Source organism: Homo sapiens, chromosome 9, assembly GCF_000001405.40.
Source record: "Homo sapiens chromosome 9, GRCh38.p14 Primary Assembly".
Taxonomy (NCBI): Eukaryota; Metazoa; Chordata; class Mammalia; order Primates; family Hominidae; genus Homo; species Homo sapiens.
The window spans coordinates 113,557,663-113,572,073 of NC_000009.12; the positions used below are offsets into that span (position 1 = coordinate 113,557,663).

At 52.0% G+C, this 14,411-nt stretch overlaps 1 protein-coding gene across 9 annotated transcripts in view, besides 4 other annotated features; it reads left to right on the forward strand.

The window, feature by feature from the left end:
• RGS3 (regulator of G protein signaling 3) overlaps window positions 1-14,411 on the forward strand; it is a 153,009-nt gene that overhangs the window by 112,933 nt on the left and 25,665 nt on the right. For 2 of the 9 annotated variants that reach the window (NM_001322215.2, NM_134427.3), the window contains exon 1: window positions 7,395-7,698. The exons of 6 other annotated variants lie outside the window; for them this stretch is intronic. In NM_001322215.2, the coding sequence (NP_001309144.1) occupies window positions 7,645-7,698 (54 nt within the window). In that variant the 5' untranslated portion in view covers window positions 7,395-7,644. Of the gene's footprint in view, window positions 1-7,394; window positions 7,699-7,855; window positions 8,069-14,411 lie in introns of those variants that run through there. One more of the 9 variants, NM_001351526.2, reaches the window with a different exon arrangement.
• Window positions 6,798-7,519: an enhancer, noted in NCBI's record as "H3K4me1 hESC enhancer chr9:116326740-116327461 (GRCh37/hg19 assembly coordinates)". NCBI's record gives its function as "activates a minimal SCP1, AML or CMV promoter by ChIP-STARR-seq in primed H9 embryonic stem cells {active_cell/tissue: H9 hESC(primed)}" and the evidence as "EXISTENCE:reporter gene assay evidence [ECO:0000049][PMID:30033119]".
• Window positions 7,520-8,240: an enhancer, noted in NCBI's record as "H3K4me1 hESC enhancer chr9:116327462-116328182 (GRCh37/hg19 assembly coordinates)". NCBI's record gives its function as "activates a minimal SCP1, AML or CMV promoter by ChIP-STARR-seq in primed H9 embryonic stem cells {active_cell/tissue: H9 hESC(primed)}" and the evidence as "EXISTENCE:reporter gene assay evidence [ECO:0000049][PMID:30033119]".
• Window positions 7,667-7,961: an enhancer, noted in NCBI's record as "tiled region #4137; K562 Activating DNase matched - State 4:PromP, and HepG2 Activating non-DNase unmatched - State 1:Tss". NCBI's record gives its function as "activates a minimal TATA promoter and a strong SV40 promoter by Sharpr-MPRA in K562 cells, with weaker activation in HepG2 cells {active_cell/tissue: HepG2 | K562}" and the evidence as "EXISTENCE:reporter gene assay evidence [ECO:0000049][PMID:27701403]".
• Window positions 7,944-8,023: a silencer, noted in NCBI's record as "silent region_20205". NCBI's record gives its function as "represses an Ori minimal core promoter by ATAC-STARR-seq in GM12878 lymphoblastoid cells {active_cell/tissue: GM12878}" and the evidence as "EXISTENCE:reporter gene assay evidence [ECO:0000049][PMID:35858748]".

The window sequence follows — 14,411 nt, forward strand, 5'->3', positions numbered from 1 at the left end:
TGTGGGGTCCAGTGTGGGGCAAGGACACCAATCATGAACAGCATATGAAAAATCGATGACAGTTGTGCCAAAGGGCCTAATGAGAGCGCCTACTGGGAGGACCTGGGGAAAGTTTCTGAGGCAGGGGAGGCTTGGGATGTAAGGATTGTTCTAGGTGGGGACCCTAACGCAGGCCAGCATAGGTGGGAAGACGAGGAAGGGGAACAGAGCATGAGATGAGGCTGAGGTGTGTTCAGGATCAGACAGTGCTGGTCTTGAGAAGCTGTGGGAAGAAGTGTGACTTTATCCTGAGTGCAGGGGTTGATGGGTGTTGTAGAAAGCTGATGCTGGCCTCATAGAGAATGGTGAGGAGGAAGGCAAGTCGAGAGGCAGGGAGCAGTGTGGAGCTATTGGCCTCGGCCAGGGAGAGCCGATGGTTGCTTGGACTAGGGCTGAGGCACCAGGGATTGAGAGAGGTGAGAGATCCACAGGATGTATAGCAGGAGGGGTCTGCAAAATTCTGTGATTAATTGCACGGGGAGTGTTTGGGAGAAGAATGGTGCTCAAAAGTCTAGCTCAGGCCAGGCACAGTGGCTCACGCCTGTAATCCCAGCACTTTGGGAGGCCTAGGCGGTGGATCACTTGAGGTCAGGAGTTCGAGACCAGCCTGGCCAACATGGTGAAGCCTTGTCTCTACTAAAAATACAAAAAATTAGCCGGACGTGGTGGTGGGCGCCTGTAATCCCAGCTACTTGGGAGGTTGAGGCAGGAGAATTGCTTGAACCTGGGAGGCGGAGGTTGCAATGAGCTGAGATTGTGCCATTGCACTCCAGCCTGGGCAACAAGAGTGAAACTCCTTCCTAAAGAAAAAAAAAAGTCTAGGTCAGGGAAACAGATGGTGCCATTCTCTGAGCTGGGAGCAGTGGAGGGGAGTGGTTTGGGTGGCAGGATCGAGTCCCACTGTATGTGTAAGTATCATGATAGGGTCCAAGTTAGTGAGTTCTCATGAAACAAAGCCATTTAAATCAGGGCTCCTTAAGCTACCTGTGGTGAGGGGCTTTGACATTTTGTAGCATCACACTGCATGTGATTTATTATGCAGGCTTGAGAACACCTGAGCTAGCCCATGCCCTATTCAGTGAGACCAGTCCACTCATCTCATGCTTAGAGGTGGCAATGTCAAGTTGAAGTTCTTTAAACACAATCAATCTTGCTACCTATCTCACTGCAGACTGGTAACAAGCAGCCTGTGAACCCATATGATTTTGCAGACCACATTTTGAGTGGACTGATCTAGTTCAACCCCAGTGCATTTTAGAGACAGGGAAACTGAGGCTTGGAGGTGGTGGGGGGGATTGGCCTTGCCCCAGGGTTCGCAGAAGGCAGCAGCAAAGTTAGCATTTCAGTCTTTCCCCCACTGACCCTTTGTTTTGATGGCTTGGGCTCAAGCCCAACAGTCCAAACAGTGGGTGGACCCAGGGGAGTGTGTGGAGAACTGTTTCCAGCAACCAAGGTCACAGGCCTGGCCTCCCCGTAGCTGAGTCAGTGGCTCTGTGCTGAACACTTCCCAGGAACATGGGCTGACAGGACACAGCCTGGCCCTGGAGCTGGCACAAGCACAGTGGGTCGAGGATTGCTCCCAAAAGCCCGAAGTCTCCGGCCAGCATGTGGCTGGTTGGACCGGAGCCAGGAAGGGAGACAGTCATGGCTCCCAGCCATCCTGAGCTGCTACAGCTGCCCAAGGTCAGACTGATACTGCTGAGGTGACTGCAAGGCGTGCCCCAGGATGGAGGCAGAAGCCAGCCAGCAGCAGGCCTCTGGGCTAGCTCTGTAGGGGGACATTTGGTCTCCTGGCTTTTGCTGCGTGTGGGCTTCTCCTTGCTGGGTTGGGAGCCACCGTTTCCATTAGCAGGTTGGGAATCATCCATTGCGGTCTCAAGTTGCTGAGAAAGAGGCAGATAGCAAGGGGGAGACATTTGGGGAATAAGAGATTAAGGGCAGAATATACAGTTAAGAGCATGGGCCTGGGAGCCATGCTGCCTGCTGGGCTTCCGCCTTGTAACCTTTCTGTACCTCAGTTTCCTGATCTGTAAGCTGGGCATGATGAGAATAGCCTATTCATCAACAAATGGTAATGATTCTCAGCTATTAGTACACGCCAGGCCCTCATCTGTTAGCCCCTCAACAGGTGTTATCACATTTAATTTTACCATTTACATTAACCTTCTCAAGGTGAATTCTGTCTTTTCACAGATGATAGCAACAATGACATCATAGCAATAACAATGATGGCTCTTATTTATTGAGCACTTACTGTGTACCAGGCATTCCACATACACCACGTCGTCTAGTCCTCCTCAGGGTCCGTTGAGGCCCATTTTACAGATGAGGAAACTGAGACTCAGAGATAGTAAAGGGACTTGCCCAGGATAATTTACACTCAGATTTTTTAGACTTCAAAGACTGTGCTCTCTCTAAATTCCACTGACTGAGCTGATTCCTTTAGTGAGAGGGCCTGAAGGGGCATGGGACTGTCCATGGGAGGGGAGGAGTAGGGCTGGGGCCACTGGACAACCACTTCCTGGTCTCATTTTAGAGATGGAGGACTGAGATCAGGAAGGGGAACGGGCTTACCCTGGGTTCTGCAGGCCACAAACCACAGCTCCCTGTGAACTTGAACCTGAGGATACCTGCTCTGTCTTACCCCACCCCACCATTTGTGTCAGGTGCCCCAGAACAAGGCCCGTGCCACCAGGAAGAGCAAGACCTACACCAAGCAAGCAATAGGAGAATGTGTCCCCTGCCCAGGTGCTAGGGTCCTAGAGGCCAAAACACAGCATGGCAGCCCCCGTTTGCAGCATCAGCGGCTTCATCTGCCATGACCCCCTCCAAGTTCCATCCCATGGGCGGGCTGCTCCGGCCAGCTCTGTATCCTTAGTTCCTAGTACCGGCTCCGGCACAGAGCAGGGATTCAGTGGTTATTGAAATAACTAATTAACATTTCTTGGCCGACTCTGCAGTGGGGAGGGCCTTTTTGCATAGAGTCTCTAGACTCCCAAACCAGGGCTGTGAGCCCCAGGAAGTAAAAGCTCAGAGCTTTCTAAGTGAGTTAGCAGATTCAAAGCTTGGACTGGGGTGGCCATATACAGACACTTCCATAGAGTTTCAAAGAGCAGCCTGGGGTGGTCACTTTCTTCTGCAGTGAGTTGGGACAGTGGCAGGGCTCTGCAGAAGTTGAAGCCGGTGTGTACCCAGCACAGTCTTGGGGTATCTGGGGATGATGAAAGCTAAGCAGCTTCTGGCAGGGGCAAGGGGCTAGTCTTACTCTGAAGTGCTCTGGAATTCCTGGGACCACATCTTTCCCTGACTTCTCTCTCTCTCTTTCTCTTTTTTTCTTTTTGAAATGGAGTCTTGCTCTGTTGCCCAGGCTGGAGTGCAGTGATGTGATCTCGGCTCACTGCAATCTTCACCTCCCAGATTCAAGCAATTCTTGTGCCTCAGCCTCCCAAGTAGCTGGGATTAGAGGCACATGCCACCATGCCCAGCTACTTTTTTGTATTTTTAGTAGAGACGAGGTTTCACCATGTTGGCCAGGCTGGTCTCAAACTCCTGACCTCAAGTTATCCCCCTGCCTCCACCTCCCAAAGTGCTGGGATTACAGGTGTGAGCCACTGTGCCTGGCCTCTTCTCTTCCCTTCTCTTCTTTTCTTTTTCTTTCTTTCCTTTCCTTTTCTTTTCTTTCTTCTCCCCCTCTTTCTGTCTCTCTCTCTCTCTCTGTCTCTCTCTTTCACGGGGTCTTGCTCTGTCACCCAGCTGGGAGTGCAGTGGCACAATTATCACGGCTCATTGCAGCCTCAACCTCCTGGGCTCAAGCGATCCTCCCACTTCAGCCTCTTGAGTAGCTGGGATCACAGGCACACAGCACCATGCCCAGCTAATTTTTAATTTTTTTTTTTTTTTTGTAGAGATGGAGTCTTCCTATGTTGCCCAGGCTGGTCTTGACCTCCTGGGCTCAAATGATCCTCCCACCTCAGCCTCCCAAAGTGCTGAATTACATGCTCGTGATGGGGTCTTGGGAGCATAAACCCATGAGGTGCATTGGTCTTCACGCAATGGAAGCAGTAAAGGAAGACAGCGGAAATCTCACTGTGGTGTGGGCTGTAGGGGAGCAGCCTGTCTCTGGCACCTGGCTGCATCCCAGGCTGTTGCTGCATCCCCCCTGGGGCCTGTCTAAAGACTTGGGCTCTGCTTGGGGGTACTGTATTCCAAAAATAGGAGGTGGGTCCCTGCTGAACCTCGCTGGTCCTAGCCCTGGGAGCTGCTGCCAACCTGTCTGAACAGTGTGGAGTTTGCCTGTGTGGTTGGGCTGTACAGTTCTCTGTGTAACTGATGGGCTCATCTGTTCCATGGGCTGCCCTGCGCCATGGTGCAGGACACAGTGGAAAGTGAAGTGGGCTTCATCTGTAGCCCTGAACTTACTAGAGTGTGACCTTAGTCTCTCTATGCCTCTGCTTACACATCCATAAAATGGGGATATTAGAAATCATATCTGAGGCTGGGCACGTGGCTCTTGCCCGTAATCCCAGCACTTTGGGAGGCTGAGACGGGCAGATTGCTTGAGGCCAGGAGTTCAAGATCAGCCTGGCCAACATGGTGAAACCCCACCTCTACTAAAAATGCAAAAAATCAGCTGGGTGTGGTGGCGCACGCCTGTAGTCCCAGCTACTAGGGAGGCTGTGGCATGAGAATTGCCTGAATCCAGGAGGCAGAGGTTGCAGTGAGCCAAGATCGTGCCACTGCACTCCAGCCTGGGTGACAGAGCAAGACTCTGTCTCAAAAAAAAAAAAAAAAAAAGAAATCATATCTGATAGGGCTATGAGGATTCAATCAATCAGTCCATCAATCAGTAATCAGAAAGTGCTTAGAGCAGTGCTGTCATGTGTCAGATAAGTGTTTGTTATGTATGAAATATGTGGATCAGTGATTGGGGCCCAGTTCCTGAGTACCCGGGTGCTGACCCCTGGGCCTGTGGGCCACCTAGATCTTACCACTCTCTAGATCCCAGTTTCTCCTGTACTGAACAGCACCATCATTTATGTACCTCTGAGAAGCACTGGGATGTGGTGAACAGAGCACTGGACTGGGAGTTAGCAATCCCAGCCCTGCCACTCAGTTGCTGTGTTTCCTTGGGAAAGTTACTTTCCCTCTCTGGGCCTCAGTTTCACTGACTGTAAATGGGAAACAACAGTGAAAGATCTCCAAGGGCCCTCTGGCTTAGAAAGCCTGGCTGCCAGTGACTCCCCTATCCTGCCCTAGGCTATACACTGGGAGGCCCCCCAGCCCTGTTGATTTGTGTCTGGAGCTATGGGAGGCAGAGGGCAGTGGCTGCCCCAGGGCTCCTCCAGCCATGGGATGCTCTCCTATCCTGGCCTGGCAGGCTCTGGGCCTTGGGGCACTGAGCTGCTCTACCCTTTCCTCACCATGCTATGGTCCAGAGCATTGATGAATGTATTCTGGACTCGTTCTGGACTCAGCACACTGGGTTGGCAGAGCTGCTTTGCCCATCACAGCATAGGGCGTAATTTTGGAGTCATTAGTCTCACTCCATGGCTAATGTCTGCCTCCCTCACTGGACTGTCAGCTTTGTGAATGCAGGGCCCTGCCTATTGGTTCTCTGCCAATCCCCAGGGCCTAACACAGAGCCTGGCACAGAGTCTATGCTCTGTAACTGTTTGTTGATTGAAAGAAGGTGACAACTCAGCTGAAGCTCGAGGGCACCTCTGACGTGAAGGAATCCTATATTCAGGCTCCCCACCCTAAGAAATCTTATCCCACACACCAGAAATTCCATCCTAGAAACCAGCCAGCCTCATTGGTGATTGTTTAGCTCCATCAGAATTGGCCATCTCTTGAGACTCACCTCCTTAGCTTCCCAGGCCAAGGGTGAATCCTGCTTTTCAGGAGCCAGCAGGATGACAGCCTTCCAGTCTAGAAGGTTCCTAGGCCCTGCAAGGACTGCCTTGGTTCTGCCCCCAGGGACAAGATGAAACACTGGTTGGAGTTTGTAAGTGACCAACTCAGAGGAGGGCTATTCTGAGTCGACCCGATAAAGAATGTTTTCTTGTAGCAGTGTGCATGTATATGCTTGTGTATGTGAGAGAGTCAGGAATACAGAGTCAGAGATAGACAGGGGCAGGGATACAGGCAGAAACATCCCGAGACCCTGGGGGGTCTCTACCATAGGGAGAGAAAGAGACAGAGACACCGTGCTTCAGCCTAGGTGGCCAAGGTGGGTGGGGTGGGCATGGGAAAATAGAGGCTCCTTCTGTCCATTTTTTCTGTGCCATCATCCCAGGATGCCTGCTGCTCTGGTGGGAGCCAGCCACAAGTTGGGCATTCCCAACTTGGGCCTCAGGGACAGCCCAGGGTGCATTTGTCAACATCATGACAAACTGCAGCACCAGAGAACAGCTCTGTGCTGGCACAGCAGCATCTTGCAGTTGTCTGGCTGTATGGTGGTTAAGAGCGGGCATGGTGAGTAGGAGCAACTAGTTTTCAGTCCTGGCTATACAGACAACTGGCTATGTGACTGTGGGCAACTTCCTTTGCCATTCTGTACTTTGGACTCTTCATCTGTAACTGGGGTAATCATAGTCCTCCCCTCCTCACAAGCTGCTGGTGAGGATTCAGTGAATTAATGCAGGCAGAGCTCTGGGAACAGGGCCTGGCACGGAGTTCATGCTCAAGAAAGGGTAGCCAAGAGCCAGCTCAGAGAATCCTCTATTCATCCCACAGGTGGGCAGGTTAAGGTTAGCAGCCTCCTTTTACAGATGAAGAAACCGAGGCTCAGAGAGGGGAAGGAACTTGCTCAGTGACACCCAATTAACCAGTGCTGGAGCTGGAACTGGAGCTGGGGACCCTCTCCTCCCAGTCCAGGGCTTGTTCCACTGCCCCCGCAGTTCCTCCTTGGGGATGTCTCTGTCATTCAGGGCTGTAACTCTCATTATAGCCAATATTACTGTAACAGGATGTTACAGTCCAAACTGCCCTCCCAGCTGGCTGTCTCCGGGGGAGGAAGCCCCAGGTTCTCTTTCCACATAGGATTCTGCAGAGTTTAGCATTCAAAGATTCAGCTGTGTGCTGGGAAGGGACTGAAGCTGCCACCCCCCACCCTGGGGGCAGTCGCATTCTGGAAGTCAGCGTGTGCTGGCTGCAGGAGCCTGGGTTCAGTTGCAGCCTCCCACTGGGACAGGAACAGCGTCGGGGTGGGGGTGTGACAGGGAAGCCTCGGTGCCTCGGTGATTGGCTTGGTCTTGCAGGGAGCGGCTGCCAGCAGGCCGGCTGGAGGCGGCTTTGCGCTGCCCCAGCCTGGGAGCCCTCAGGATGTGTGTGGGGTGGAGCCTGCTAGGGATCCCAGTGCCAGGGGGTGCCGTTGTGAGGGATGGACGCCTCTCCCCCGGAGCAGCACTTTGGGGCCAGCTTGGGCCCTGGGGATGAGCCACAGGGGACCCACAGCCTATGCGTGTGAGCATGTAACCCGGGAGCCAGCTGGGCCCCTCGCGGGGTGGGCAGAAGGACGGGCTGGCCCAGGACCCTCTTCTTTGAGACATCCCGGACTCCATCTCGGATGAAAGTGCTTTGAGAAACCACAGAGTTTTCTGTTTAATGGAAGAAAGAAATCCAGCCTCTCTCCAGAGTGGCGGTGGCCGGCTAGACAGGGTGTGTGTTTGGGAAAGGCGCTGGAGGAGGAGGAAGAGGAGGAGGACAAGTAGGAGGAGGAGGAAGAGGAGGAGGGACGGGTGATGCAAGGGTTTTGAAAGCGCTACCTAGATGTGGGAGGTGGAACCTGGTCATTTGGTTCTGCTTTTCCTAGCAGGTATCGCTCCCCTGGGGAACTTGGGTAAGTCCATAAATAGCTCTGCTGACACAAAGGAGCTCTGTCTGGGGAAGGCAGCCGCTTGACACGGCCGCCAGGAGCTGCCACAGCCACGGCCGCCCGCCTGCGGGAGGAGCCGGGTGGAAACCTGGGCGGGCGAGCTGGCAGGAGCGGCAGCCAGGAGTCGCCTGGGTCCCTGCTGGAGTATGCTGGGTAGGTACCTTGGTGACAGGACTGTGTGTGTGGTGGGCGGGCATCCAAGCCACCCTGTGCCCCTGTTTCTATTGTTTCTTCCCCAGGGCAGCCATTGATAGGCATGTTGCAACCAAACCATTTGTGCTCTGTTCTGAGATAGCTCTGTGTGTGTGTGTGTGTGTGTGTGTGTGTGTGTGTGTGTGTCTGTCTGTCTGTCTGTCTCAGGGGCTGGGAGCCCTGCAAGTTTTGGGGGATGCTTCCTCTGTTGGCTGCTCCCCACTTCTAGGCTGGACAGCCAGCTTTTCTTTCTCAGAGAAACAAGAAATGTTTGGTGGCCAAAAAGTCGGGACACTGCATGGGAGGGGAGCGCTCAGCCAGCAGGGTTGGCTATTGTATCAGGGGTGCTGGCCGCACACCAGGCACCAGGGATGGAAGCTCGTGTCTAGTTTCACTGGCAGGGGAAGAGGTGGTCTCTGGAACTAGTCTCAGCGGGTTGCCTTTGGTCCCTGAGACGGCCTCTGCTGAAACGTCCACTGGAAGCACAAGCAAAGATGCTTTGCCTCTGACCTCCAACCCCATGGGAGAGGGCCTGCACCTGCTCCCTTGGCTCCAGCTGAGACCCATCAGGCAGGGGGTGGTGGTAGAGACAGGCTCACACCACAGAGCTGGCCACTGTGAGCAGACAGAGGCTAATTCTTTTCCCAGCCTGGAGGGTCCACATCTCTATTCTTGTTCCCAGGTGTCCAGGAAGAACCCTTGAACCCTAGGACTCAGGGCAGGAGGATAAATCTGGACCCAGAAAGGGGAGGAGCCTTGTCCAAGTTTGAGCAGCAGGTCTGTGGCTGAGCAGGGACCAGGATAGAGAACTTCTGCCTCCTAGAACAGCAAGAACAGGACATGTGGGAAACCATTTCCCTGACCTGAACTAAGTATTATAATTCAGCTTCAAATCTGACCTTCCTGACCTGAGAGGCTTGGTACACCAGGCCCCACAGCGATGCTTGAAAACTTTCCACATCCTGCTGCCCTCAGGCCTTCTGGCTGGGTGGCTATCTGGCGTCCTCTCCCAGTGCTAGAGTGGGTACATCTCCTCAAGGGAAGGAGCCGCAGAGGCTGCCCTGCTGGTGCCTGTGGGATCCCAGCCAGGGCACTGCAGGCATAGTCAAAGTTTCCACCAAGGCCCCTTGAGTCCTCTGTGCCCAGCCAAGGGGCACCTCCCCTCTTCCCCAGCCCTAGCACATGGTGTGGCTTAGCCTAGGGCAGGCCCTTCAGGGAGCCGAGTTCCACAACAGGGCTCACTGCAAGCCCAGACTGGCTTCTGAGAAGCAGGCAGATTGTGAGGATGAGGCAGTTGAGGCAAGTGACCACTCCTCGTGAGAAGTCTCCAGGGCTTTGAGCCAGAAATTGTTGATGGGACTTCTGATTATAAGTATGTGGTATCAGTGAAATCATTGCACTTCCAGGCTTCCTTGCCTTTGCAAATGCTGTTCCAGCTGCCTGGAAACCCCTCCCCTCCCCTCCCCTCCCCTCCCCCTCCATGTCTTATTTTATCCAAACTTCCACAACTAGAGCAAATACTCCAGCCAGAATGAGTCTGTCCATTGGTGGTGGCACCCATGGATATTGCTTTGTGTCCTATGTATGCAGAATCTGGGCCTTATTCATTCCTTAGTCGCAAGGACCTGGCCAGGGGCCTGGGGCATGGTTGGAGAGGGGCGTTGCATTGTCCTGGCTAGGGCAGGTTTTCTTTGAGGACAAACAGTGACATGCAAGTCAGCTGTGTCCGCCCATCTCCTAGCTCTGTGCCTGGCATAGAGGGCCTGTCGGGGAGCCCCTTTAGGAGAGGCCTAGGCTCTGAATGTCAAAGTTGCATCCATAGGGCCAAGGGATGGGGCTGGGTTTGATAGGAGGTGAGGCGGGGAGAATTTTGGCTTCATCCTGGCGGAGACCATAGGGAGAATCCACTCAGGGGTCATGCTGGGCTAGGTGGAATTCACAGCATAGCCTGGGCCATGGAGGGTGGAGGGGATAGCCCTGGCTTGTTGAAATGCAATGCTGAAGGACCTTTGCACAGACTACAGGGGATTGGAGCTCAGCTCCCTGGACCCTCTTGGGATGGTGCCAACCAGAGTAGGTCTGGGGTTATTGATCCTCAAGCCAGTGGTCTGTGTGGCTCCCTCAGAAGAGGCACAGCTGAAGAGAGAGTGCCTATCCCCAGCTGGGTCCCTGGGGGCCTTGAGAGCTGCTTCCCATTGGCCTCTTAAGGCCCTGGAGATGGCAGTCTCTTTGCCTTCTATTAGGTTGGTGTAAAAGCAACTGCGGTTTTTGCCATTAAGAGTAATGTAAAACCGCAATTACTTTTGCACCAAACTATAGATAGATAGATAGAGAACTGAGGCAGGAGAGGAAGGACACTTGCCTGAGGTGACATGCGACTCAGCAGGAAATCAGGGACAAGAACTCAGGTTCCCCTGCCCAGGCCTCTCTGTACTGCACCAACTGGATGTCTCAGAGTATCCAGGTTTCATCTTGGGGCTCTCTTTCTGGACTCACCAGTGACATGTCCCTTTTGGACCTTCGGGCTCACTGACTAGAGCCCTGCTATCCTCTGGGAAAAGCAGCATGTGCAATAGACAAAGCCCCTTGGTCGGTGGGCTGGAGACTGCGGCACCTTCTCGTCCCTTCTTACTGATGATTTCAGGCAAATATGCCTTGTTTCTCACCTCAGTTTCTCCTTTGTAGCAACTAGGGACTGGACCAAGTACTGCCAGGTGCCTTCCAAATATCCAGTTCTCTGATTCTTTGCAGGCCGTCTCCTCTTCCTGGCTTCCAAAAGTCAATGGTCAGGGCCAGGGCTTGGTGCAGCAGAGAAGCAGCCCCCAGCCTGTTCCCCAGGCGCCTCTGGGCAGGAGCCTTCGCATGCAAGCTGCAGCCCAAGCCGAAGCTGGGAGGTTTGTTGTTGTTTGTGGAGCCAGGCAGTTTCCAAGATGTCATTGCTTAGGGAAAACCATCATTCCTCCCAGGAATAAACAAGGCTGCTTATGGCTCAGCCCCCTAAGCCTGGAGAAGCTGGAGCCACTCACAGCAGACCAGCCAGGCTCAGCCTCAGGGAGTGCTGCCTGCCCCTGCACAACCAGCTGTACCCTGGCTTCCAGGATTGGAGTGGGGATGGGGGCAGGATGGTGGGAGGTGTGCTAGAGCCATAAGCCTCTTGGGAGATCAGAGCTTCCGGGCACAGATGAGAGGGAAGAGGGTCCCAGGACATGCTCTTCCTTCTGGCAGTGGGCCTAAGTCATCACTCGAGATGTGTGGATAGCTGCCAGGTATGCTCCAGATGGCCCAGGGCTTCTCCCCTCTCCCTGCCCTCCATGGGCCAGCCCGCTTGCACCTGGTACCGTGGCTCAGGCTGCTGCCGGAGAACTGTCAGCGGCTCCCAACTTAGAAAGGGGGGTGTGTATTTGGAACTGGGCATGCTTTTCGCCACATAGCCAGGGCTCTCTGTGGTGTCCTCAGTTACCTCTTACTGGGGTTAGCCTTGGGCAAATAGCAGAGCTCGGGGACTCAGGGAAGGGTGGCAGAGGGTAAGGGAACAAGGAGAGAGGCAGAGAAAGGTCTTGGCAGTGCCTCTGGGGACCACATGGCTGGCAGGAACCTTGACAGCAGGCCGAAGGCAGCCAGGAGAAGGACTGTGGAATGGGAGGTGGCATGGCTATGCCACCCCTCAAGTCAAGGGTTGGAAGCAATGTTCAGCCAGGCCATGAAATCTTCACTTCTCAGACCTCACTTCCTGCAGTTCCCAGTTGATTCAAATAGCAGCAGCTCTGTACTGTCCTCTCTGCCTGTCTCCCTTCCGTGTCTTTCCTTCTTTCCTTCCTTCCTTCCTTCCTTCCTTCCTTCCTTCCTTCCTTCCTTCCTTCCTTCCTTCCTTCCCTCCTTCCTTCCATGTGTGTTAAGCACCTACTGTGTGCCATGTACTTACAAATTACTAGTGGCATAGATCTAAAAGGCCCAATCTTTAATCTAGTGCCAGGATGTTCAGGTAATGGACAGTAACAACACAGCTTTAATGGAGAGGCATGGGGTGGGGAGGGGGGTGCTGTGGGACTCCCCAGGGAAGCACTCAGTTCAGCCTGGGAGCCTCAGCAAAGCTTCCTACAAGAGGTGAAGCTGCATGTGATTGTACAGATGCTTGCCCATTGAAGAGCAGGTCTCCATCCCAGTCTATCCACCCCTCAGAGGTGTAGACATGTTTCCCGCCTATCCATGGAAATTGCTTTTGTGTGTCCAGCCACATGCTCCTCCTTGTCTAGGGAGGTTGTATAGGAATATGGGCTCTGGACTTGAGGGAAGGATCTCTCCTACCTTACAGTCTTGTGCTCTTGGACAAGAATGGAGCTTCTCCTGCCTTCATGTCCTCAAGCAGTGGTCTAGCCTCCTCGAGTTAAATGAGATAATAGCTGTAAAGCACTTAGACATGTTTCATGTGAATGGATTCTGTGTCCTGATAGCAGTGGGAGTGCCACTAGCGCCCATCTCATAGGTGGCTGTTATTAAATGCAGCGATGTAGGTGAGGTGCTTGGCGTGGATCTGACACTGAGCAGGCATTCAGGAGGCAGCGCGGCAGCGTTTTGCTGGAGGGAAACAGTTGGAATGCGCAATCAGAGATGTGTACAAAGCAAGGAGCTCACCGAGAAGCAGTGAGCCTCAGCCCAGGGAGCAGAAGAGGAGACACTGGGATGAGGGGTTTTATTTGTTTTTAAAATAAACCTTTTAAATTGAAGTGCAGCATACTTCCAGAAAAATTAGAAGAATACAGCCAATGAATTTTCCACAAAGCGTACCCCCATCCAGGTCAAGAAATAGAACATTCTGGTACCCTAGGAATCCCCACAAATAACCCTCTTTTAGTTACTATGACCTCAAAGGTAACCCCGTCCTGACTTCTTTTTTTTTTTGAGGCAGAGTCTCGCTCTGTTGCCCAGGCTGGGGTGCAGTGCACTGCAACCTCCATCTCCCAGGTTCAAGTGATTCTCCTGCCTCAGCCTCCTGAGTAGCTGGGATTACCGGCGCGTGCCACCATGCCCGGCTAATTTTTGTATTTTTAGTAGAGACAGGTTTCACTATGTTGGCCTGGCTGGTCTCGAACTCCTGACCTCAGGTGATCCGCCCTCCTCAGCCTCCCAAAGTGCTGGGATTACAGGCATGAGTCACTGCACCCGGCCCTTGTCCTGACTTCTCTCATCGATGAGCGTAGCCTATCCTTGAATTTTGTGTAAATGGAATCATTGGGTACATATTATTTCATGCTGACTTCTTTTGATCAGCATTTTGATGGCAAGATTCATCAATAATATTGTATCAAGCTTTATTTTGTTTATTCTTGTTGCTCTGTGGTATTTCCTTGTATGAATATACCGCCACAGTTTATCTAATCTACTGCTGATGAACATTTGTGTTGTTTACAGTTTGAGGCTATAATGAATGGTGCTGCTATGAATATTCTTGTACTTATCTTTTGATATACTATGTTTGCTTCTGTTAGGTGAATACCTAAGTTTTGCAATTGCTGAGTCATAGAGTTGTAGAGAGTTAGCTTTAGTAAATACCATGATATTATTTTCCAAAGTGTGACAGGAATATACTCCCTTTAAGCTGTACATGAAAGAGCCTATTATTCCATGTCTGTACCAACATTATTGGTATTAGATATTGTGATATCTAATTGTGGCTTTAATTTGAATTTCCTTGATGTCTGGTGAGGTCGAGTCCCTTTTTCATGTGTTGATTAGCCATTTGGATGACCTCTTTTGAAAAGTGCCTGTTCAAGTCTTTCCCCCATTTTCCTATTGGATTTTTTTTTCTGATTAACTTGTAGGAGCTTAAACGATATTGTAGATATGTGTTTATTGTTGGATGTGCACATTCCAAATATCTCTTCCCACTCTGGGATTTGCCTTTTCACTCTCTTAAGGGTATATTTGAAGAACACAAGTTCTTAATTTTAATGCAGTCCAATTTGTTAATCTTTTTTCTTTTATGGAGAGTGTTTGTTGAGTCCTGTTTCTCTGCTTATTACAAGGTTATGGACATATACTTTTATGTATTCTTTTAGATGTTTTATGTTTCATATTTAGATCTAAAATCCACTTGAAATAGATTTTTATCCATGTATGAAGTAGAGGTCAAGACTCATTTTCTCTGGATAAATATTCAATGTATTCAAAATCCATCCTGTCTCACTATAGGGCAATGTCACCTTTGTCAGAAATTGAGGGGCAATACGTGGGTGGGTCACTTGAATTTTGAAGAATGAGTAGAGCTTCAGCAGGTGGACAGGGGAGGGGAAGGTGCTCTAGGCAG